General features: G+C 37.4%; 1 protein-coding gene and 1 long non-coding RNA gene across 8 annotated transcripts in view, besides 1 other annotated feature; one reads left to right on the top strand and one right to left on the bottom strand.

The window, feature by feature from the left end:
• RMDN2 (regulator of microtubule dynamics 2) overlaps window positions 1–24,335 on the bottom strand; it is a 146,238-nt gene that overhangs the window by 19,207 nt on the left and 102,696 nt on the right. The gene's annotated exons all lie outside the window — the stretch shown is intronic.
• Window positions 9,266–9,335: a silencer, noted in NCBI's record as "silent region_11367". NCBI's record gives its function as "represses an Ori minimal core promoter by ATAC-STARR-seq in GM12878 lymphoblastoid cells {active_cell/tissue: GM12878}" and the evidence as "EXISTENCE:reporter gene assay evidence [ECO:0000049][PMID:35858748]".
• Window positions 11,591–24,335, top strand: part of RMDN2-AS1 (RMDN2 antisense RNA 1) — an 86,008-nt gene continuing 73,263 nt past the window's right edge. The window contains exons 1-2 of the long non-coding RNA NR_102712.1: window positions 11,591–11,782; window positions 18,012–18,077. This is a non-coding gene — a long non-coding RNA (RMDN2 antisense RNA 1). The remainder of the gene's footprint in view (window positions 11,783–18,011; window positions 18,078–24,335) is intronic.

The raw sequence follows: 24,335 nt of genomic DNA, 5'->3' as shown, positions 1-24,335 counted from the left end.
TTGTCTCCCACAAGTGCAGTGAACAATATAAGGAAGGAGTGGAATGAAGACATAGAAGGAAATAGAAGAAATGAATGAGATTGGGATGATAAAAGAGAAAGAAGAGCCACACATATCTGCCATAAAGACTTCACTTCAGGAACTCAATGATTTGCCATGAGATGCAGACAGTTAACCGTCATGGGAGAGGTTTTTTTATTTTAAAGTTTAAAATATAGAAAGTCAAACTTTTTTTCCATTTACATAGAAAAGAATGCAATATTTAGGAATACATTTAACAAAGTAAGTGCAAACTTATACTCTGGAAACCACAACAAAAAATTGTTTAAAGAAATCACAGAAGGCCTAAGTGGTAAGAAAGACATCTCATGTTCATAAATCAAAAAACTCATATATGTGTTTTGTGTTTGTTTGTTTTGCATCCAGCTTCTTTCACTTAGCATAATGTTAGGAAGAGTCATCTACTTTGTAGCATGTATCAGTAGTACATTTTTTGTTGTTGTTGAATGATATTCCATTATATGGATATACTACTTTTTTAATGTCACTAATTGATTGACATTTGTATTATTTCTACTGTTTGGTCATTATAGATATTGCTGCTTTGAATATTCACATACAAATCTTTATACGAACATATTTATAGAGAATTATTTTTACTTACGTATTTACCTTTTCAAGTATTATTTATTTCTTCATGTGTATTTAAGTTACCATATGATGTCGTTTCCTTTTAGTCTAAAAACATAGTATTTCTTCTGAGGAAACTCAGCTAGCAATTAATTCTCTCTGTCTTTGTTTATCTGAAAATGTCTTTTATTTTGTCTTCATTTTTGAAGGACAGCTTTGTTGGATATAGAATTCTCAAATGACAGTTGTTTCCTTTCATAATATTGAGTATTTCTTCCCATTTTCTTCTGATCTTCTGGGCTCTTTTTTGTTTTTTTTCAAGACAGAATCTCACTCTGTCGCCCAGGCTGGAGTGCAGTGGCGCAATCTCGGCTCTCTGCAACCTCCGCCTCCTGGGTTCAAGCGATTCTTCTGCCTCTGCCTCCCGAGTAGCTGAGACTACAGGCACCCGCCACTAGGCCTGGCTAATTTTTGTATTTTTCGTAGAGACGGGGTTTCACCATATTGGCCAGGCTGGTCTCTATCTCCTGACCTTGTGATCCACCCAGCTCGGCCTCCCAAAGTGCTGGGATTATAGGCGTGAGCCACCGCACCGGGCCTGGATTCTTATTTTTTTAATGAGAAGTTAGCTATTAATTATTTTTCTTCTGAATATAAGAAGTCTTTTTTTCTCTTGTTGCTTTTAAGATTTTTTCCTTTGTTGTCAGTTTTTAACAATTTGACTATGATGTGCTTAGCATGTGGGTCTCTTAGATGTGGATTTCTTTGTTTATCTTTTTTTAAATTCTTTGAGCCTCATAGATATCTAATGTTTTTCATCAAATTTTGGACATTTCTAGTCATTATTTCATCAGATATTTTTCTGCTTTTTTTTCTCTGCTGCTGCTATCTCCACTCAGTTTTTAAAAAATATTATTATTATTGTTCTTATTTTAAAGCATGGTTTCTTTGGGGTTTCCCTGGAACAGCATAGTTTAGCAGTCAGCTGATGATGGGTTAGAGATTATGCTCAAATACTTGCAGGCAGTAAGGGTTATATCCTTTGGTAATGAATCTTTGAGTGAGTTGGGATATGTACTCAAAGGTCAGACAGTTTACAAGTCTGCCCCAGACTTTTACTGTCTTGAAAGTTCTTATGTGTCTTCTCTGTGCATGTGGAAAACTTCATATTCAGTCAGGGATATGTGAATAGCTAGGGCCATCTCTGGTCTGAGTGGATGCGTAGCCTTGGGTATGTGTGCAGTTTTCCAGACTACCAGGAATATATGAGAACCTACAATGGCGACCTCATTCCCTGAGTCATCCTGATAAATTTCTGGGTAGTCTGTCTTTCTGTTGCTTGCCTGAACCAAGATCACAACCTCGGGCTAGTTGCAATGTTGGCCTTCATGTTTGTTTTCCACCAAGGTCACAATTTACGGCAACACTTGTTGGCCATAAACATGCTTTGCCATGCTTTGTTCCAAATCAAGTCTGCAGCATCAATTGTGAAGCCACTAGCTTTTATTGCTTGCCCACCTTGGTAGAACTCTCATACCAACTAAGCTGGGGGAGAAGGGCGGGGAGAGCTGGGAGCAGCTCCAGGCAAAAATGCTTCAGATGCTCACTATTCTTAGCTAAGCTTTAGTGATTTTACTCTAACTAATGCTTCTTAATTTTTTTATGTATTTGATCAATTTCCTTGATCATTTTACTCTGAAATGGCTTTTTTACAATTTTATCTAGCTTTATCATTATTTTGGTGGAGGGTGGTTGGGAAGAGGATTTCTAAAGCTCCTTGTTCCACCATTCTAAAAGGTGAGGAAGAAGTTGCCTGCTCCTTTTTAAAGATTAGGTGAGATGAGATGCAAACATCAAGATTAAAAACATATGCATAGAATTTATAAATCTAATATGTATAACAGGAGCCTACATTTGTGCAGCAGTTTCTTCTGTTAAGCCTGTGCTAAGAGTGTAAGAGTGTTACAGGCATTGTCTCCTCTGATAGTCATAGAAATGCAAAACTGGTTCGACTGTTGAAAAGCCCTTACTAATTTTCTTCTATAGGGAAATAAATAAAAAGAAAAGCATATACAGAGAAGAAAACCAGAACTTTTCATCAGAAGCCTGCATTCTAAAGCCAAAATACTATTTAAATTACGTATTTTCTATTGCACTTTCAAATGAAATTTAGATACACATTGGGATCTTTCTCTTTTAATAAATTAACATACAGAGTTATATAAACCTACTCTTGACAAAAAGGACAAAAATAATCATGTTATTACTATTTGATACCATAAAACAGAAAAAAAAAATATCTAGAATAAGAGCTTGAATGCATGGGGCTATATTACACCACAGCTCTTACTACACAAATTTGGATGTGTCACTTGCCAAATCAAGTAATCAAACCTATTATACTAGGATTAGGGTTTTACTTGGGCATTACTCCTACATTATACTAGCATTACCAAGGAATTTCATAATATTTATATAAAGCACTTTATATGGAAAAAGTAGACAACATGCAAGAATAGGTGGGTAATATAATCAGAGAGCTGGAAACCCTAAAAAGAATCAAAAGGAAGTGCCAGAAATCAAAAATGCTGTAACAAAAATATAGAATTCTTTGATAGTTCATCAGCAGAGTGAACACAACCAAGTAAAGAATCACTGACCTTGAAGACATGTCAACAGAAACTTCACCAAATTGAAATGCAAACAGAAAAAAGAATGGAAAAAAAAAAAGAAAACCCAAACAGAACATATAACAACTGTGAGGCAATTATAGAAGGTGTAACATATGCATAATGGGAAATGGGAATAACAAAAGGAAAAGAAACAAAAGGGCAGAAGATATATTTGAAGTACTAATGACTGAACTGTTTTCAAAATAATGACAGATACTGAATCACAGATCTAGGAAGCCCAGAGAAAACCAGGAGGGATAAATACCGAAAACAAAATCTGCATATCATATTCAAACTGGAGAAAACCAAAGACAAACAGAAAACTTTGAAAGAATTCAGAGGAACTAAATACTTTACCTGTAGAGAGACAACAATAAGAATTACATCAGATTTCTTATCAAGGAAGAAGAGTGTAAAATATTTAGTGTTGAAAGAAAAAAAGAAAAACTACAAATTTAGAATTCTGTATCCAGTGAAATTATCCCTCAAAATGAAGGAAAAAATAAGACTTTCTTAGACAAACAAAAACTGGGATAATTTTCTTGCAAGGCAGGTCAGTAAAATATTTTAACATCTATTGCAAAGTCAGTAGACCTCCTTTGCAAGAAATATTAAAAGAAATTTCTAAAAGAGAAGGAAAATGATATAGATCAGACACTTGGATAAAGAAAGGAGAACATCAGATAAGGAATAAGTGAAGGTAAAATAAGGCATTTTATTCTTCTTATTCTTAATTATCTAATAGATAACTATTCAAAGTAATAATAGCATCAATGTATTGGGCGATTATGGCATATGGATAAGGAAAATGAATGACAGCAATGTTAAAAAGGATAAGAAGGAGGAATCTGGAATATATTACTAAAAGATGTCTGTGCTACCCATGAAATGATACAGTGTTACTTGAAAGTTAACTTAGACTACTTGCAAATGTATTTTGCAAACCATAGGACAACCACAAAAATGTTTCTTGAAAGAATTATAATATAGTAAAGGACGAGAGAAAATGGAATCATATAAAATACTCAAAGCCAGAGAAGGCAGAAGAAGAGGGGAAGATGAAAAAAGGAAACAAAGAACAAGTGCAATGAATATATAAGTTACAAACAAGGTGGATATTTATCCAATAATATCAACAATCACTTCAAATGTGAATGACGTAGTAGACATACCAATTAAAAAACAGAGACTGTCAGAATGGATTGGATCTGACTATATGTGGCCTATAAGAAACCTACACTAAATATAAAGACACAGATTAAAAGTAAAGGGATGGAGAAAGCTGTATCATGCTAACACTAATTTAAAAAAGCTGCAGTAGCTATATTAATTTCAGACAAAGCAGATTTGAGACTAAGAAAAATTGTCAGAGACACAGAGATGGTCACTACATAATTTTAAAGGGGACAATTCTCCAAGAAGACATAACAATCCTCAATGTGTACACACATAACAACAGACTGTCAAAATATGTGAGGCGAAAACAGTTAAGATTGCAGGGAGAAATAGACAAATCCACTCTTATAGCTGGATAGTTCAACATCTTTTCAACAACAGACTGATAAAACAATCAGAAAATCAGTGAGGATATAGCTAACTTTAAACAGCACTGGCAATCATCTTGATATAAATGATATAGAATTCTCCATCCAATAGAGCAGAATACACATTATTCTCTAGGTCACATGGAACATTCACTGAGAGAGACCACACTCTAGGCCATAAAATATACCTTGACAAATTAAGAAATTAAAAATCATACAAACATATTCACAGACCATAATGGAATAAAGCTAAAAATGAATAACAGAAAGATAATTGGAAAATCCCAAATATTTAGGAATAAATTAAAAATGTATAAATAACAAAGTAATTGAAGAAGACATCTCAAGAGAAATTTTAAAATATTTTGGATTAAATGAAAATGAAAAGAAAACTAATCAAAACTTGTGGGATGCAGTGAAAGCTGTGCTTAGAGGGAAATTTATAGCACTGAATGCATATATTGCAAAAGAATAAAGATCTAAAATCAGCAATCTAAGCTTCCACCTTATGACACTAGAGAAAGAAAAACAATATAAGCCGGAAGAAAGCAGAAAAAAAAAATTAGAGTAGAAACCAAAACTGCTGTTAGAAAAATAGAGAAAATGAATTAAACCAAAACCTGATGTGTGTGTGTGTGTGTGGTGTGTGTGTGTGTGTGTGGTGTGTGTGTGTGTGTGTGTGGCGGGGGGAGGTTTTGGAAAAGATCAATAAGATTGATAAATCTCTGGCCAGGTTCACCAAGAGAAAAAACAAGGAAGATACAAATGACTAATATCAGAGATTGGGGAGGGTTTATCAGTACTGATCGCAAGGCATTTAAAGGACAATAAAGAAAGAGTATAAATAGCTTTCTGCCTACACATTTGATAACTTAGATGAACTGGACTAATTCTTTGAAAAACACAAACTATCAAAACACACACAAAGAGAAATAAATAATTTAAAGTAGGCCTATATTTACTAGAGAAATGCAATAAATAATAAATAACCTTCCAAAGCAGATAGCAACAGACTCAGATGGTTTCTCTGGTTATTGTACCAGACAGTCAAAGAAAAAATTATACCAATTTTCTGCAATCTCTTGTAGAATACAGAAGGAACGCTTCCTAACTCATTCTGTGAGGCCAGCATTTTCAAGTACCAAAATCAGACAAAGAGAGCACAAGAAAGAAAAACAACAAACCAATATCTTTTATGAAAATGATAAAATAATCCTTAAGAAGATATAAGCAAACTGAATCTAACACTGTATAAAAAAAACTACAACCATACTCTGTGCCCAAGTGGGGTTTATTCAAGATTTGCAAGGCTTAATCTACATTTGAAAATTAATTAATATGATCTATCACATTAATACACTAAAAAGGAAGATTCATATAATCATATCAATCAATGCAGAAAAACCATCTGACAAAATCCAACACCCATTCATGATAAAAACTCTCAGCAAAAACTCTCAGTAAAAAGGAGGAATTTTCTCATCTTGATAAAGAAGATCTACAAAAGGCCGACAGTTAACATCATAGTTAATGGTAAGAAACTGGGTACTTTCTCCTCAAGATTGGGAACAAAGTATATATGTCTCCTCTCACCAGTCTTATTCAACATCATATTGGAAGTCCTGCTTAGTACAAAACGTCCAAAAAAAAAAAAAAAACCAATAAAAAAAATGAGGAAAGAAGAAATAAAACTGTCTTTGTAGATGACATGTCTGACTCAAATGCATCATGGTTATAAATATAAAATTTGAAACTATAAAACCTCTAAAAGAAAACAGGAAAAAATCAAGGAGGAACACATGCTAAGAAGTAGTAGGAGAGGAGGGCAGGTAGTAGATACAGTGTGCATTTGTCAGACACTGCTGGGTGCCTTAGTGTTGATTGTCTCATTTAATTCTTATAGCAAGGCCTGATCCTTGACATCCCGAGTCAGATGGTGAAACTGGAGAAGTTAGGCTATGTAGAAAACCCCCCAAAATGAACCCAAACCTCCTTCAACTAATAAACAATTATAGCAGGATACAAGGTTAATATACAAAAGTCAATTGCTTTCCTATATACTTGTAATAAACAATTGGAATTTGAAATTAAAAACACAATAGCATTTCCAATAGCACAAAAATGAAATACCTAGGTAAAAATCTAACAAAATATGTACACAATCTATATGTGCAAAAGTACAAAACTCTGATGAAAGAAATAAAAAATCTAAATAAATGAAGAGCTATCCCATGTTCATGGATTAAAAGACTCAATAGTGTTTAAGATATTAATTTTTCCTAACCTGATCTGTAGATTTAATGAAATTCCACTCCAAATCTAGGTAAACTATTTTTAGATAGTGCCCCTCTGATTCTAAATTTTATATGGAAAGGCAAAATACCCAGAACAGACAATACAATACTGAAGAATGATGTTAAGAACTAAAATTACCTGACTTCAGGACTGTCTTAGTGTGTTTGGCTATTACAACAAAATACCTTAGACTCGTAATTTATAAACAACATAAATTTATGTTTACAGTTCTGGAGGCTGGGAAGTCCAAGATCAATGTACCAGCAGATGTGGTGTCTGGTGAGGACTTGCTCTGCTTCATAAATGGCACCTTCTTGCTGTGTCCTTACATGATGGAAGGGACAAGGGAGCTTGCTTTTATAAGGGCACTAATCCTATTCATGACAGTAGAACCCTCATGACTTAATCACTCTCCAAAGGCCCCACTTCTTAATACCATCATATCGGGCATTAAGTTCCAGCATGTGAATTTTAGGAGGATGCCAACATGCAGACCATAGCAAAAACTAACTATACAGCTATAAAGTTATAAAGACAGCGTGGTATTGATAAAAGAATAGACACAGAAATCAATGGAAGAGGTAAGAAAGTTTAGAAATAGACACACAAATATAGTCAACTGATCTTTGACAAATAGTAAAAGGCAATTCAATAAAGACTAGTCTTTTAACAAGTAGTACTGGAAAAATTGGATGTCCATATGCAAAATAATAATAATAATAATAATAATAATAATAATAATAATGAATCTAGACACAGGCCTTATACTGTTCAAAAACATTGACTCAAAATGCATCATGGACCTAAATGTAAAATTCAAAACTATACAACTTCTAGAAGAAAACAGGAGAAAACCAAAGAGGAGGAGATGCTAAAAAGTAGTAGGAAGGGGCAGGTAGGGCACACAGTGTGCATTTGTCAGACACTGTCCTGGGTACCTTTGTGCTTATTGTTTCATTTAATCCTTATGGCATGGTCCGATTCTTGACATCCTGGGTCAGATGGCGACACTGGAAAAGTTAGGTTCATGGGAGGGCAGGGCCAGCCTGGCACCCTTCCCAGCTGTCCCTTCTGACCCCATGTGCACCTTCAGGGAACCCATTCTGCAGCCTCAGACACTGGGTGATTTTCTGGCAAGGGAGTGAGAGACAACTTCCTTCTTCTGTTTCAAACCTAATTTATCTCCAGGTGGAGTCAGGGCTTTCTACTTAATGATAGGAGTGAAAAGGCAGAAAAAATGACAAAATCAGGGCGAGGGTGAATGTTCCCATCAAAGCAGAAATGATGTAAACCTTTTGTATTTTCCCAGAGAAGCGGGGGCTGTAGATAGCAGCGACTGTGCTCCTTAAATAAAAGAAGGGTCAGCGACTTCTGAGAAATGGGAAAATGGAGTGCCTGGGGGTGCCCAGGAAGAACTGAAAAGACTGTATGTTGGCTTCCATCCGAGGCTGATCTATGGGCTTCGGGACCAGACAAGTGTGAGTTAGAATCCCATTTCTGTGACTCACCGGTTGAGTGAAATTAGGCAAGTTCCTTATCCTCTCTGAGCCATAGTTTTCTCATTTGTAAAATAAGGACAATCCCAAGTGACTAAATTATTTTACCATAATCATATGGATTAGTTTTAATCCATATGAATATAGTTAAAATTATATGAATATATAATCTTAATCCATGAACATTTTATCTCTCTCTCTGTGTGTGTGTGTGTGTGTGTGTGTGTGTGTGTGTGTGTGTGTGTGTATAGCATCTGGCTTTTAAACTGTTGCTCAAAAATATTATTTTCATTGTCACTTGCAAAGCTCAAATCAAAACTGAGCAGAAGGGAACACCCTTCCCTGTTTGGCTGCCAGGCGGTACACCTCTATGGGAACCACCAGCCTGGCCCTCCGAGTGCTGAAAGGGGCGAAACCTATCAGGGCAGGGATGGGATGGGAGATGCCAAGAAATGACCCAGTGATCCTCCCCAGGATCAGGTCTGGCCAGCCCAAAGTGTCTCTGCCCTTACTAATGCCGGAATACTTGTCAGTCCCAACCCTGTGGGCTGTGAGAAGCACCCAGTGTAATCAACCCACCTTCTATTCCGATTCCAAAAGGCTTTTACTGGGTGCCTGCCATGTGGCAGGTTTTATTCTAGATGCTGTGAATAGAGGTTGATGATGAGTGGTTGGTTTGGCCCTAGCGTAGCTCAGCAACTATAAAAGAGTGCAAACCATGCCTTAAAAAGCTGAGGCTTTAGCTCCAGGCGCAGCTGGCTCCGAGGCGGGGGTTGCAGGCAGCGGTAACCGGGCCTGAACCGTGCAGGAGACAGTTCGGAGTTTCCCAGAAAACAGCTTGCTCAATACGGGGTATCAGTTTTCCTCCCGGCACTTTCCGCCTTGTACCGAGATAACTGAATCAGTAACGCAGAACTCAGCTCATTCTATTGTTGGGGAATCCCAAAAACACCCCAAGGGAGAGAAAGACAAAGTGCTGCACAAAGAGACTCGCAGTCGGCGTCCGCCCTCGCTTGAACGCGTCCCCCTTGCGCCCGGGGGGCGCTGCGCTCCCTCCAGGAGAGGACGCTGCGTCTAAGTCTAAGAGCCTCCAGTGGAAAGTCCCGGAAGCCCTCCCCTGGGCTTGAGATTTTTGCTGGCTGAAATGGAGCCTGGAAGTGCTTTTCTGTGGTTTAGATGGGGAAGGAATGGGGGAAAGAAACGGTTCGGGAAAGGGGAGAATGGAGGGGAGAAGAGGGAAGGAAGATGGCAGGAGCCTCGGAGGTCAGGCTTGCAAGCAAAGCAAACACCAGGCTCCAGAGGGGTTTGCAGGCTACAGAACACCGAGTTTCGAGAGAATCACATGTTTATCTTCTCTTAAAATTCTCATACTGAACGATCTGGATGTGACTCAGCTCACGCAGTCGCTAGCTGTGGCACCGTGTGAGCTACTTAACCTCAGAAAGAGTTTCATCATCTGTAAAATGGGCATCACGGCCTTGTGGAATGGATTAAAAGAGCCAAAGTGCATAAAGCTCACGCAGTATCCTTTATAAGCAGTTTGTAGGTCTCCTTCCTTGAATTTCTTTCAAGCTCCCAATAGCCAACGGGAAGCCGAACACACTTTCACACTAAAAATGGGAATTCAGGGAAGTATCATCAGGTTCTGAACTATGTTTTAAGACTCAAGTCAAACACCAAAACTGAGTCACCACCTAATGTGTGTGCAGCACGTGTTAGGGGCAGTTTGCTATGTGATGACTTGAACGACAGTTTCTCTCTCCTGGGACTTTCATAAAATTCCTTTGGTGTTGCCACACACTTCTGGGATTCTCCACAATGAGCCCATTGCTGAGCCTGTCTCTGCAGATGTTTATTAAACAAGCAGAATTTAGGGGAATAGTCAGCAAGTCTTCACCAAGTTCTTCTATGTGGGCAGCTTTTGTGGTGTGGCCAGGGTATGAGGATAAAGAGCAACTTGGAAAAGTCTGGGGAGAATTTAAGTAGCCTGAAGAGTCTCTGTCCCTCAGGGAGGAAAGCTGAGAAATCGTTTCCATATTTATGTGTCAATTGCTTTATGTCCATTTATTTGATCTTCCTTACAAAATCTTGCATAGAAAATTTCATCCTCATTTTACAGATGAGGAAACTGAAGCTTAGAGAGCTTAGGTCACTTACCCAAGTTCATCCAGGTAGCAAAGTGTCAGGTCTGGATTTAAATCAGGTTGAGTCCAGTACCTTTTTCTTTTTTATATCACGCTGCCTTTCCCTAGAAGCCAAAATTTCTAGGAAATAAATGAACTGCAATGACAAAGCAGCACATTTTCCCATGTTCTTTGCTCTTGATCCCTACCTACTCTTTTCCCGGAAATAGACAATAAAGCCACCAGGATACCTGAGACAGCCTTGGTCATCTTTGTACCGTAGCCAGCACCATGGATTTTTGCCTAGTTACTTTCCCATCAGATTTTAACAGAAAGAACACTGTATTTGCCAGCTCAGTACAGCATATCTCTGGCTCTGTTTTCTCCCCAGCAGGAATCCGAGGGTCTGTCTCTGTATGTGTTATCATCAGACTGGTAAAGAGTTACATGTGTCAGCACAGAAGAAAAGAGCTTTGATGTGAGTTCAGCATGTAAGAAAGCCTTCATTGCTGTCATGCTTTCAACAGGTTCCCCACGACCCACCACTGCCTGCCAAGATGAATGTAAATGAAGCAGAAGTCTCACAGGGTAAATTCAGCTTCCCACGACCTGCAGTTGGACAGGGTGGCAAGGAGATGATGATAATTCCATGGCTCCCAGCTTAATTTCTCTTGGGGAGGGGTATGTGGACTCTTGCTATCCTGGAGTCCATATCATGCAGGACTCCGGAACATAAAAGGCAACAACAGTGAAGTGAGTGCCTGTTACAAACAAGGCTCAACTCAAAGCTAACAATTCTTCTTTATTAGGATACCACTGATCAGAGCTGCAAAGTGTACTCACATCTGTCATTTCGTGTCATTCTTACATAAATCCTGTAGCTGGGCACAGTAGGAAGAAGCATTCTCATCATGGCCACTTAGCTTGCTCGAGATTACACAGAACCATGCCTCTGGTTTCCTGGTACAGTGCTCCGGCAGGTGACGGATGCTCCTGGGTGACATATCACGGATCTCTCTGAGGTGAGATCTTCATGATTCTATATCATAGGCATCTCTTTATCTTCAAGTTGGGCAACATCAGCAGGGTTCCCATGAGTATGTGCCCAGCGAGGCTATTTAGTTCCTCTTATCTTTTTTTTTTTCTACTTGCCCTCGTTTTTCCTGAGATTTTATTTCCTTCCTAGCTGGCATACCTTTCCCTGCTGTGGTATTCAGACCTAAATAGTGTGTGCACCTATTACCTCTGCAGAGTAATTACTGTTTGGTACCATGGTAGAGTTTCTGTGTCCAGATACGGTTGTGAATGCTTGGAATGTAACATTGGGAAAGACAGAACTATTGCTTGTAAGTGGATTTGTGGACATCATGGTGCTATGAGAAAACTAAGTTGAAGATGCTCCTGCATCTTGCTGGTTAAACTAGATATAAACCAGTTGCTTAATAATTCATAGCCTATCCTATCTGTTTCCCACCCTCCTTATCTTCCAGGGACTCATTTATTGAATAACTCATTTTACATGCCTCTTTTATCATATACATTTTTATGTGTATTAGGATGTATTTATGGACTTTATATTCTATTTCACTGATTTGTCTATTCATTCATATTTCTTTGAGTATGATAGCTTTATGCATTTTTTCTTATCTGGTAGGTATTGTTGCCCCTCATTGCTTGACTTCTTCAGTATTTTCACAACTACTCTTACTTGTTTGATTTTCCATTTGAACCTCAGAACATAAAAAGAATCTTGTTGGTATTTGTATTGGAATTTTATCAAATTTGTAGATTAATTGAAGGATATTGGATAATTTTAGGATGCTGTCTTCCTAATCAAAATATAGTGTGTCTTTTTATTTGTTCAAACTTTTGGGGTTCCTTCAATTTCTGCTTGCCTATCAGACATGATTCTTATATTTATTCCTAGATATTTGATCTTGTTTTACTCAGGGTAAATGAGGCATTACCTTCCAGTACACCTTCTAACTGGCTGCCATCTGTATTTGTCATGGCTACTGATTTCTATATATTTATTCTTTTATTGTTGAAGAATGTTTTGTAGTTCGTTCTTTCAGGTTTTTCACACGTGAATTTATTTGCCAACATAAATGATACTTACCATATTCTGTTAATGTATTACTTTCAAATATTCTAATTTGTTTGTCTTTCCTAATTAGAGCTAGTATCTCTAGAACAATATTCAATAATAGTAGTGACAGTGTCATTTTTCCTGTCCTTACTTCAGCATAAATGCTTCTAAATACTTTGTTAGTAGGCATGATGAGCTCAGATAAAAAGCTTTTTTTTAAATATTAAAACAGTATTCCTTTATTTCTACTTATTAAATTTTAAAATCAAGAAAACATTCTTGCCCTTTAAAATATTTTATATTTGTATATGTTTTATCATGAAAATTTTAGTAGGGTATTAATACGTATAATTTATAAATAAATAAATATAAATATATTAGGGGATGACAATTTTTACAACCGATTCAAGCATAAAATAAGAAAGTTTGGAGAGCATGGGTTTAGAGGATTATAATAAATTTTTAAAATTAAAATATCATTGTTTACCACAATACAATTTAATCCTTTTTGATAATGCTGAAGATACTTCAGGATCTCGAATGCTTTAGGATCAGCATTAGGGATACTGTTTATCTTATCAGTTGGTTGAAGGTTGGTTAACTAAGAATAAATCACTGGAAGTTCACCTGTTTGCCTCTGAAAAAGTCTGATCTTTATTGCCCTCTGAATGTCTTCTTCTATGCCAGACAGTTCCAATAAAGCAACTATAACTAGGCTCCCCTAGCCCTCCTGATCTCCCCATCATGTAGGAACCTAATATGTCCAAGATAGTGGTAGAGGGTGAGCCTATGTGGCCTGTGCCCAGCCTCTCTGCATCATCCTCACACAAGTTTAGTGTCACGGCTGAAGGATGCTCTTCTCAGCAGAAGTGGGATAAGAGCTGACACATCTACAGGCAGAGCAGTCAAAGGGTGGGAAGAAACCTGACCTCCTAAAGACCCACTGCCTTGCCTCAGCACAGTGGTGACTTCCTGTCGAGGACACTGCTAGAAGTCTTTCTGAGTAGATGATTCTGAAAAGTAAAGAAACACTAATATTCTTTGTAGTTACAAAATAGGAAAAGCTAGCTGGGGGGATAAACGTCAACAGATTCTTTTAATAGGATGCCTAGCTTTCTGCAAATTTTTACTGAACCAAGACATGTGTTCTTGGTTGATTAATACATGCAGTGCAAAAACTCAAAACAATATGCTGATATATTCCGTAAAGATAATTCCCAGGCTAACTGTGGTTTGTTTTACATTGTCAACAAGAGCAGGAGGTTGGGGGAGGAATCTCATGAATTCCTGGACATGGAAAGTTTGGATTCCCATGAAATGACTGATCTGAAATCTAGAGTAAATTTGATCTCAAATTTTCTCTCTTAATTATATAGTGAATATTGCAAATTCAATTCAACTTTAAAAGTATTTATTGAGCCCTATGAAAACACAGAAGCAAGATCAGATGTAGTCTTTTAATCTATGCGGAGAATGAATGTGTGTCCACATGGAGTAGATAACAATTCAAAAAATATAGAATTGGATAACAATGTAAGAAACATAGATGGTGTTGTGAAAGGTCAGAGAACTCATGACTGATTGTTGGGATTGTATCACTAGGAGTTTCTTTAAGTATAGCAGAGCAAGAGAGGTAGAAGGACACATGACTTTCATCCCCCTTCCAACAACAATGTTCTGAGACCATAGGCTTAATCTAGTCAAGTCTGCTTGACTTTCTATAGAGTGGGTTTCTGAAGGTTTTGATGATCTCACCATGGGATGGGAAGGAAAGGACAGCTACTTTTAGCTAGTTTGTGTACTGCCAGTGTTAAGGCAAGAAAGAGAAAGTAAAAATCTACTAGTAACTAACAAAGGTGCTTTTGGCTATAGAATTTTCAAATTTGGTGTCACTGAAGCCAAATGAGCACATGAAAGGATGCTTGACGTCACTGGTCAGAGAACTATGAATAAACCACAGTGAGATACTACTACATGTCTGTTAGAATGGCTAAAATTAAAGATTAAGACTGGCCATAGCAAGTGTTAACGAGAACATGGAGCAACTGAAATTCTCATGTATTTTCAATGGGAATGTAAAATGGTACAGCAGTTTGGCAGTTTATTATAAAGCTAATGTATACTTACTGTGTGACACAACAATGCCACTTTGGGGTTTTTATGTCTCCCCTCCCCTGCCCCCAACCCAAAATAAAAACATGTCTGCTGAAATAATTATATGTGATTTTTTTTTTTACATTTTTTGTGACGGACTCTCGCTCTGTTGCCCAAGCTGGAATGCAGTGGTGCGATCTTGGCTCACTGCAACCTCCACCTCCCAGGTTCAAGCGATTCTCCTGCCTCAGCCTCCTGAGTAGCTGGGATTACAGGAACCCGCCATCATGCCTGGCTAATTTTTGTATTTTTGTAGAAACGGGGTTTCCCCATGTTGGCCAGGCTGGTCTTGAACTCCTGATGTCAGGTGATCCGCCTGCCTCGGCCTCCCAAACTGCTGGGATTACAGGCATGAGCCACTGTGCCCAGCCTGTAAGTGAATGTTTATTTCAGCTTTATTCATAATAATGTCAAACTGTAAACAACCCCAAACAGGTGAATTTATAATTACATTATGGCATATTCAAGCTATGCAATACTACTGAGCAACAAAATGGAATGAACTATTGATATATACAATATCATAGATGAATCTCAAAAATGTTCAGCAAATGGAGACAGACTTAAAACAGTTAACATTCTATGATTCCATTAATATGGTATTGTAAAAAAATTAATCTATAGTGACAGAAAGCAGATGTGTGGTTGCCTGAGGCTGTGGTACAGGTAGGTGGGAGAGTGAGGGGAAGGAAGCCAAGGGAAGTTTTTGGAGCGATGGTCATGCTCTATATGTTGGTTGTGGTAGGGGTTACGCTGGTGTTAAAATTTGTCAAAACCCATCAAACTGTACAATTAAAATTTGTGCATTTTACTGTATGTAATTTATACCTCAATAAAGTTAATGTAAAAAGAAAATGAGGCACTCTTTCTATGAATGGGTTTTAGGGACAGGTAAACCAGTGAGAGAGAGAGAGCACTCACTTTTTTTCTTTTTTAGAAGACTGAGGCTGAGTGATAGGCAGCGGCATTGTTGTGCACAATCTGCTTTGTTGTATGATTCTCTTGAGACCTGACTCAATTTATGGGCTCCTTCTTTGGGCAAGAAACTTAAGTTGGGGTCTCATTATTGTGTTCTGGGAGCGTTAGGTCACTGCATTCCTCATGGGCTCCAGGCATCCCGAGGAAGGCGTCTGCTCAGGAAGCATGCTCAGCCTTGAAACTGAGAAGGGAGGTCAAATGAGGATGTGCATCTTTTGCTTCTGCACCTCCAGTAATTTCTTCTCTTTGTAAAGAAGCCAGGTGTTGATAATAGTCACTAATACTTAGTTGAGTGAATGTAGGAAAACCCAGATAAACTTTCCTCTCATCCACAGATTTCTCTGGCCAGTTCAGGGAGACAAATGGAAGAGTTCATTTGCGGGAGGGGATTTGTGACAGTTAGGTAGATCATAATCTCAACTACTTTATGAAATGTAAATTACAGTTCTGTAGAAGTGAAAATTCACAGCATTACATCAAAATAAAAAAGGAAACAAAGCACTGGTGGGGGAGGCTGGGAGGTGGGAAAGGGACCTGTAGTTTCAGCTACTGGGGAGGCTGAGGTGGGAGGATCACCTGAGCCCAGGAGTTCAAGGCTGCAGTGAGCTATGATTGCATCTGTGAATGGCCACTGCACTCCAGCCTGGGCAACATGGCAAGAGCCCATCTCAAAAAAAAAAAAAAAAAAAAAAAAGGGAAACAAAGTATGACTATGAGCAACTCTCTTGTGGAGAAATGGCCAACATCATGTGCAAATAAGGGTTCCTTAAGTAGTACAGGGCACCTTACTAGGCCATTCCCATGAATTATCTCATTTAGAAACCAAACTTCCTATCCAAGGCCCATCTTAAATTACTGTTTTCCTTTCCAATGAACCATTTTCCCTCCCTATGGGAGACACTTAAATGTTCTTGGCCAATTAAACAAATGTTCTTGGCCAATTAAGCAAATTTCAAGAAGTCTTTTTTTTTTTTAGAAGTCTATCTTTTTTAGCTGCCTTAAGCACTTTTTAGAAAAATGAAAACAAAGGAAAAGGAAACAATCAAGAATTCCCTAAGGACATTACATTTTAAATAATTTAAGACATTGTATGGCTCTGAATGTGGTTATTTTCTCGCTGTGCAGGCCAGAGCTGGAAGTCAGCCACCTGGGCTTAGTCTTCACAGTCTTAGAAACAAAGTGTGTGACCTTCAGCAAATCTAACCTTTGTACCACTTTTCTCCATGGTCAAATGATGGTGATATCATTTTCTTAAACTATCTTAGTGAGTAAAAAGGTTTCACTGAAATACTGGATGTGGTAACAGTTTGAAAAATTAAATGTTTAATAAAAATCCATGTAAAGCCAGTTTTTTACAATTAAAAGAAAACTTTTAACATGTTGTAAACATAATATATGTGCTTTCACTATATGGACTGGATCTCTAAAGCAATAAACATCATCAGTCATCTTTTACTTTTCCAATTCTCTTAACAGGTTGTTAAGAATGATCCTCTGTGACTGCACTAAATATTTTTTAAGTTGCATACTGAGGTGTTGCAGAAGTTACTTTATTATTAAAAAAACAGCCTGGGAACTGAAGCCTAGAAATGGGATAAGAATTATAATTTCAAGACAAAAGCAAGCAACTGGGTCAGAGAAATGATACAATGATTAACCTTCATATGTGGTCTGTACTTCATCCAATGAAGGGTGTAACAGTAAAAAATAAAGTAGAATGCACACAGATCTGTAATGTTTTTGTGGGGAGTAAAAAGAGTATCATGAATTTGGTCTAAGGCTGGCGCTGGCATTGTCACAGACTCATTGTCTGATACTGCTTGGCTGTGTCCCCACCCAAATCTCATCTGGAATTATAGCTCCCATAATTCCCACATGTTGTGGGAGGGACCTGGTGGGAGGTAACTGAATCACGGGGGAGGTTTCCCCCATACTGTTCTCGTGGTAGTGAGTAAGCCTCATGAGATCTCATGGTTTTATAAGGCAAAACCCCTTTCGCTTGGCTCTCATTCTCTCTTGCCTGCCACCAGGTAAGACGTGCCTTTTGCCTTCCACCTTCTGCCGTGATTGTGAGGACCCGCCAGCCACGTGGAACTGTGAGTCCATTAAACTTCTTTTTCTTTATAAATTATCTAGTGGTGGGTATGTCTTTATCAGCAGCATGAAAACGGACTAATACACTATCTCTTGTGCCTGATCTGCTAGGCTTCCCCACCTCCTGCCCCACCCTCCCCTCCACTCTCCCTGCTCCCTAGTCCTCCTCTCCCTCTTTCTCCACTCTCTCCTTGTCACATCATATCTGAGGGTAGAAATTACTTTCAGTTTTTTTTTTTTTTTAAAGGAAACTTAGGAACACGTGAAATGTTTTTCTTCTTCTTGAGTTGTTTAATTTGGTTTAACAAATGTTAATTGAGCACAGGCTGCCAGGCAGGAGATACAAAGGTAAATAATATGAGGTCCTTGTCCTCACGTTATTGAAGATCTTAGGGTAGGTCAAACTAAACGAAGATGCAAAAAAATGCTCCAGGGCTTTGAGGTGGGTGAGAGCACAACTGGCTATGTGGATCAGAAGGTTTTGTGGCAAAACTTCCATCCCTTGGCCCAGGCCTTGAGTGGGAAGGGAGATTTCCATGAGTGGGCATGGGGGAAGGTGGCCCCAAAGGCAGAATAAAAACCAAGCAAAGGGCAGAAGAGTGCCAGGTGGGTTTCAAGCAGCACTCAATCCCGTGTGCCTGGAATGTAGACAGTGTGTGTGTGCAGTTGGGGATGCTGGAGATCTGCTGGAAAGGCAGACTGGGTGGGAGCGTGGGGTACACAAAAGGCCTGCTGAGAACTTCAGCCTTTATACTGTAGGCCTTGTGAAAGAAGGTGGGAAAATATTGCTGTTAGTCTGCTTTTACTCACAGGACTTTATTTGCATGGATATGTGCCCGCCCAGTCTCCTGTTCTTTGCCTTCCTGCCCCACATAAAAACAGCTGCAGCCTCAGGAAAGTGGTTTGAGGGAGCCATGGCAGATTTGACTCTGGGGATGGTCAGGAGGCAATTTCCAACCTCCGCATCAGCTGGCTCCAGTTACAGCTTTTTTCTGGGGGCCTGCATTGAGCTTCAGACCCTGACCTTGACCCCCAAGGAGAAGGATATAAAAAGGGGCTTGCTTGGTTCCCTGCTCAGCGCCCACAGTGACTAAGGCTCTTACTGGGACCCGCCCACAATTGGAGGTGAGATGGGGGTAGGAATGGGAGGTGCAGAGGCTGGGCAAAGCTGGCCCAGGGGCTGCAGCGGGCAGAGCTGGACCAGAGGCTGCAGCACAGCCATTTGCACCCAGCTTAATGGGCTCGAAGGGCTGGAGTTCTTGGAGGGCTCACCCTGGGAAGAAGGGCTGCTGAGGAAGTTGCTACATGCCATTACTAGCAAGAAGTGAAGCTGAGAGGAGCTTTTCTAAATGATCCATAATAAGAAAGAAAAATGTCAATTAATTGTGTTAGTGGAAAAAACAATATTTCATCCTCTATCCTTTCAATAGAAAATAACATTAAAATTAATGCCATACAATGAAGCAAACAAAGAGTATGTAAAAGAAAGTATTCTAGATGTACTATGCAGTCAATAAATAATAATAAAATGTTATTTTTCTGGACGTGATAATTGTAGTATTTGTCAGCTTTGAAAATTTTATAATTTGTCATGCTGTCTTTTGCATTCTAAATAAATAGTCACTTTCATACTTAATTTTGTGTTTGTAATTTTGTATTCTTTTTCTTAAAGATTCTCCAAATTGTGTAAGCTTCGGGGTCCCTGAAATTTGGATCAGCCTCTGGATAGTCCCCATAATTTTAGCTCAATAAATGTTTGATTAATTACAATTGCAAAGTACATTGAGCTCTGAGGACTGAAGAACACAAGGGAAATAACATGCATTTCAACAGAGACAAAATAAATAAATGAATTAGTGGCTTGGCTGGGAGGTCACTATCATTATATCTGGGATGTTTTAAAGATCAGGACAGTCAATGTTGGGCTCCAGATGAATTCCACACTCTACATGGTGGGGCCAGTCTGTCTGAGAGTGGCAGTCCAATTAGGGCTTAGCTATTAATGCCACAGTTTTGTGGCATTAATAATTTCCAATGGCATTTCCACATGCGATTTTCAGCAGATTATTTTCCCAATTAGGTTTCCCAATTTTAAATTAGGTGGGTTGTATAAATATAAAGTATTCAAGAAGGAGGAAAAGTATAATTTAACTCTCCACATGCAATTTTATTTGTCAAAGCACAAGGTTACTATTGAAAAATGGACAAATAAAAAATTGTCTCAGAGCTCTAACCAATGTCTAATTTAATAAGTAATTCCATAGTACAAGTATGTCAATTTGCTTTATTTTATCGAGTGGAAGCATTTGAAACATTATAAAAACTTATTTTAAAAAGAAATGTAATACTTTCGAGGTTTTTTTAATCTATAAAATAATGGTTTATAGGACTGGAAAGTGTGGTGAGGAGCAGATTTTTAAAATATTACAATGCTACAAAGTTACAACTTTCAAAAGTTACAACTTCTGGCTTTCAAAATCTAAAACAGGGACACGGTATAAAAAGAATGGTTTTCAAGACATTGGACAGCAAGAAAGAAAGTACAGCAACCCCTGAGAGATGGGTAACAAACAAGATGAACCTTCTTATTGTCCCAGCTTACTGCTTTGAGAGAGCATCCAGGTCTGTGTATGGAGCAGAAACACAAAAGGAGTCCAGAAATCTCCTCGTGCTGAGGAAAGACAGAGCTGAGGCTATGGGGAGACCAAAGCAGGTAGAGGGCTTGAAAGACACTTGATGTAAGTCACCTTTAAAGAATATGCATGCTGTTTCAGTGTACATGGAATGTTTACCAAAATAGAACATATTCTGGGCCACAGAACAAGTCTCAACAAGTTTGAACAGATTCAAGTCGTACAAACTGCTGACCATGATGGCATTAAATTAGAAATCAATTACAGAAAGATACCTGAAAACAAAAAAAACCTGAAACAAAACAGACTTTTAAATAACCCATGAATGAAAGAAAAAAGCAAAATGGAAATTAGAAATTATTTTTCATTGAATGAACATGAAAATATAACATATTAAAATTTGTAGGATACTGCTAAAGTGGTACTTAGAAATTTATAGCACTAAATGCTTATAGTAGAAAGGAAGTGGACTAGGGGAGGGATAGCATTAGGAGAAATACCTAATGTAGATGATGGGTTGATGAGTGTGGCAAACAATCATGGCACGTGTATACCTATGTAACAAACCTGCATGTTCTGCACATGTATCCCAGAACTTAAAGTATAATTAAAAAAAAGAAAAAGAGAAAACAAGTAAAGTCTTATATCAATGACTTCAGCTCCCACCTTAAGAAATTAGAAGCGTAAATAAAACCCAAAGTAAAGAGAAGGAAGAAAATGATAAAGTTGAGAGTGGAAATCAATGAAATAGAAAATAGAAAAAGAGAAAAATCAATGAACCCAAAAGCTGTTAATTTCAGAAGCTCAGCAACATTGATAAACTTCCAGCCATTGGTTATAATGTTACCTGTAGGGTAACAGCAAATATAGAAAACAGGAAATAGGGAAAACACAAATTACAAATATCAAGAATGAGAGAGGTGGCATCACTACAGATTTTATAGATAATAAAAGAATAAGGGAATATTATTAAATTTGTGCCAACAAATTTGACAACTTAAATGAAATAGAAAAATAGATAAATTCTTTGAAAGATACAAACTACCAAAGATCACTCCAGAAGAAAGATAATCTAAATAGCCCTGTATCTCTTAAAAGAACTGAAGTTGAAATTGTACTTGAAAACTTCCCCCAACAAAGAAAACTCCAGGTTCAGATGGGTTCACGAGTGAATTCCACTAAACATTTAAGGGAGAAACGATATCAATTCTACATAGTTTTTAAGGAAAATGAAGAAGGCAGGGTACTTTTCAACTCATTCTCTGAAGCCAGAATTACTCTGATACCAAAACCAGAAAAAGACTTTACAAGAAAACTACAAACCAATATCCGTTGTAAATATTTATGCAAAAACTTAAAATAAAATTTTAGTAAACCCACTGATACAATAAAAAGAATAACACATTAGGACTAAGTCAATTTTATCCCAGGAATGCAAGGCTGTCTTAATATTTTAAAATTCAAATATAATTCATCATATAAACTAAAACAGTAAAACCATATGATCATCTCAATGAACACAAGTGTGACAAAATTCAGTATTAATTCCATAAAAAAAACTCAGCAAAATAAGAACAAAAGAGAGCTTCTCAACTAGAAAAAGCGTATCTCCAAAAAAACCTACAGGTAACATTGTGATCAATGGCAAAAAATGGCATGCTTTCCCCTCAGATCAGAAATTAAAATAAGAACGCTTGCCCTCTTCTATTCCATGGTGTATTGAAAGTTCTAGCCTGTACAATAAGGCAAAAACAAAACAAAACCTTCAGATTAGAAAGAAAGAAGTAAAACTGTCTTTATACACAACTGATATAATCACAGTAGTAGAAAATCTAATGGAATCTACAAAAACGCTACCAGAAATAAGTGAGTTTAAAGAGGCTGCAGGATGCAAGATCAGTGTACACAACTGCATTTCTATATACAATAAAAAATCAGAAATTGAAAATATAATATATAAGAGCATCAAAATATGAAATACTTAGGAATAAGTTTGACAAAAATGTGAAAGACCTGTACATTGAAAACTGCAAAATATTGCTGAAAGGAACTAAAGACCTAAATAAATTAAGAGGTATACTATATTCATGGGTTGCAAGACTTAAAACTGATGTCAATTGAAATTGATCAATGTAATCACAATCAAAAATCACAACCACTTTTTTCTTGATGGAAATTTTAAAAACTAATTCTAAAATTCACATGGAAATGCAAATAACCTAGAGCAGTCCAAACAGAACAAAAACAAAGTTGGAGGAGTAACACTACCTGGTTTCAAATCTAGAAAACTACATTAATCAACATGATGTGGTATTGGTGTTGAGATCAATAAATAGATCAATGGAACAAAATAGAAAGTCCAGAAACAGACCCATGCATATATGGAAAGCTGATTTTGAGAAAGGTACAAAGGCAAGTCTATGGAGAAACAACAGTCTTTTCAGCAGATTTGGAGGCAAAACTTCATTAGATATGTTATAGAGTATTAGATAGATTGCAAGTTTGTAAATGTAAATGCTGAAATAATTAGATATCCAAATAACTTATAACAAATAAAGTTCAAGCCATACTCCAAACTATATACAAAAACCAAAACGTCTCAATTTAAATAATGGGCAAAATATTTGAATAGATACTTCACCATAAAAGATATACAGATGACAAATAAATGCACCAAAAAATGCTCAACATCATTTGTCATTAGAAAAATACAAATTAAACCCCCTATCAGATATACTACATGCCTAGTGCAGTAGCTAAAATGAAAAAGACTGACCCTACCAAGTGTTGTCAAGAAAGTAAAGCAAGCGGAACTCTCAGACGCTGTTGGTGAGAATGTGAAATGGTAAAACCACTTTGGAAAACAGTTTGACCGTTTTTTATAATGGTAGAAATACATCTACCATACTTCCTACTCCTGTGTATTTATCCAAGAGAAATGAAAGTATATGTACATTCGAAGACATTTATATGAATTTTCATAGATGATTTGTTTGTTATAATCAAATACTGGAAACAGGCCAAATGTCTATCAATAGATGAGTGGAGAAGCAAACTATGGTATATTTCTGTTATAAAATACTACTCAGAAATGAAAAGAAATGAACTATTAGTTCATGTTACCACATGGATGAGTCCCAAAATAATTATGCTGAGGGAAAGAAGTCAGACAAAGGGGTGTATAACACATAATTCTACTTATATAAAATACTAGAAAATGTAATGTATAATGACAGAAAGCAGATCAGTTGTTATTTGGAATGGGGTTGCAGAGAGAGATGCAAGAGGGAGAGATTACCAAGGGGCATGAAGAAACATTTGAAGTGATGAAAATGTTTGTTACCTTAACTGTGGTGATGGTTTCGTGGGTGTACACGTCAAAATTTATAAAATTATACACTTTAAATACATGCAGTTTTTTTGTATGTCAATTGTATCTCAATATTTTTTAAAACCCAACCTTATGATTTGGCTTCAAGTATCTAAAGCAAAACATAGGTTGAGGGGCTTCAAAATCACAGTACTTCAAGTATGAACTTTACTTGGTTCTAAAATGTATCTTGTCTTTGTGAAATCAACTATTCTTGTTAATTTCCCAATCAACAGGCCACAAAGTCCATAACCAAA

The sequence above is a fragment of the Homo sapiens genome, chromosome 2 (genome assembly GCF_000001405.40).
Source record: "Homo sapiens chromosome 2, GRCh38.p14 Primary Assembly".
NCBI lineage: Eukaryota > Metazoa > Chordata > Mammalia > Primates > Hominidae > Homo > Homo sapiens.
The sequence above is the reverse complement of the archived record's forward strand: the minus strand, read 5'-3'. Positions and strand labels throughout refer to the sequence as shown.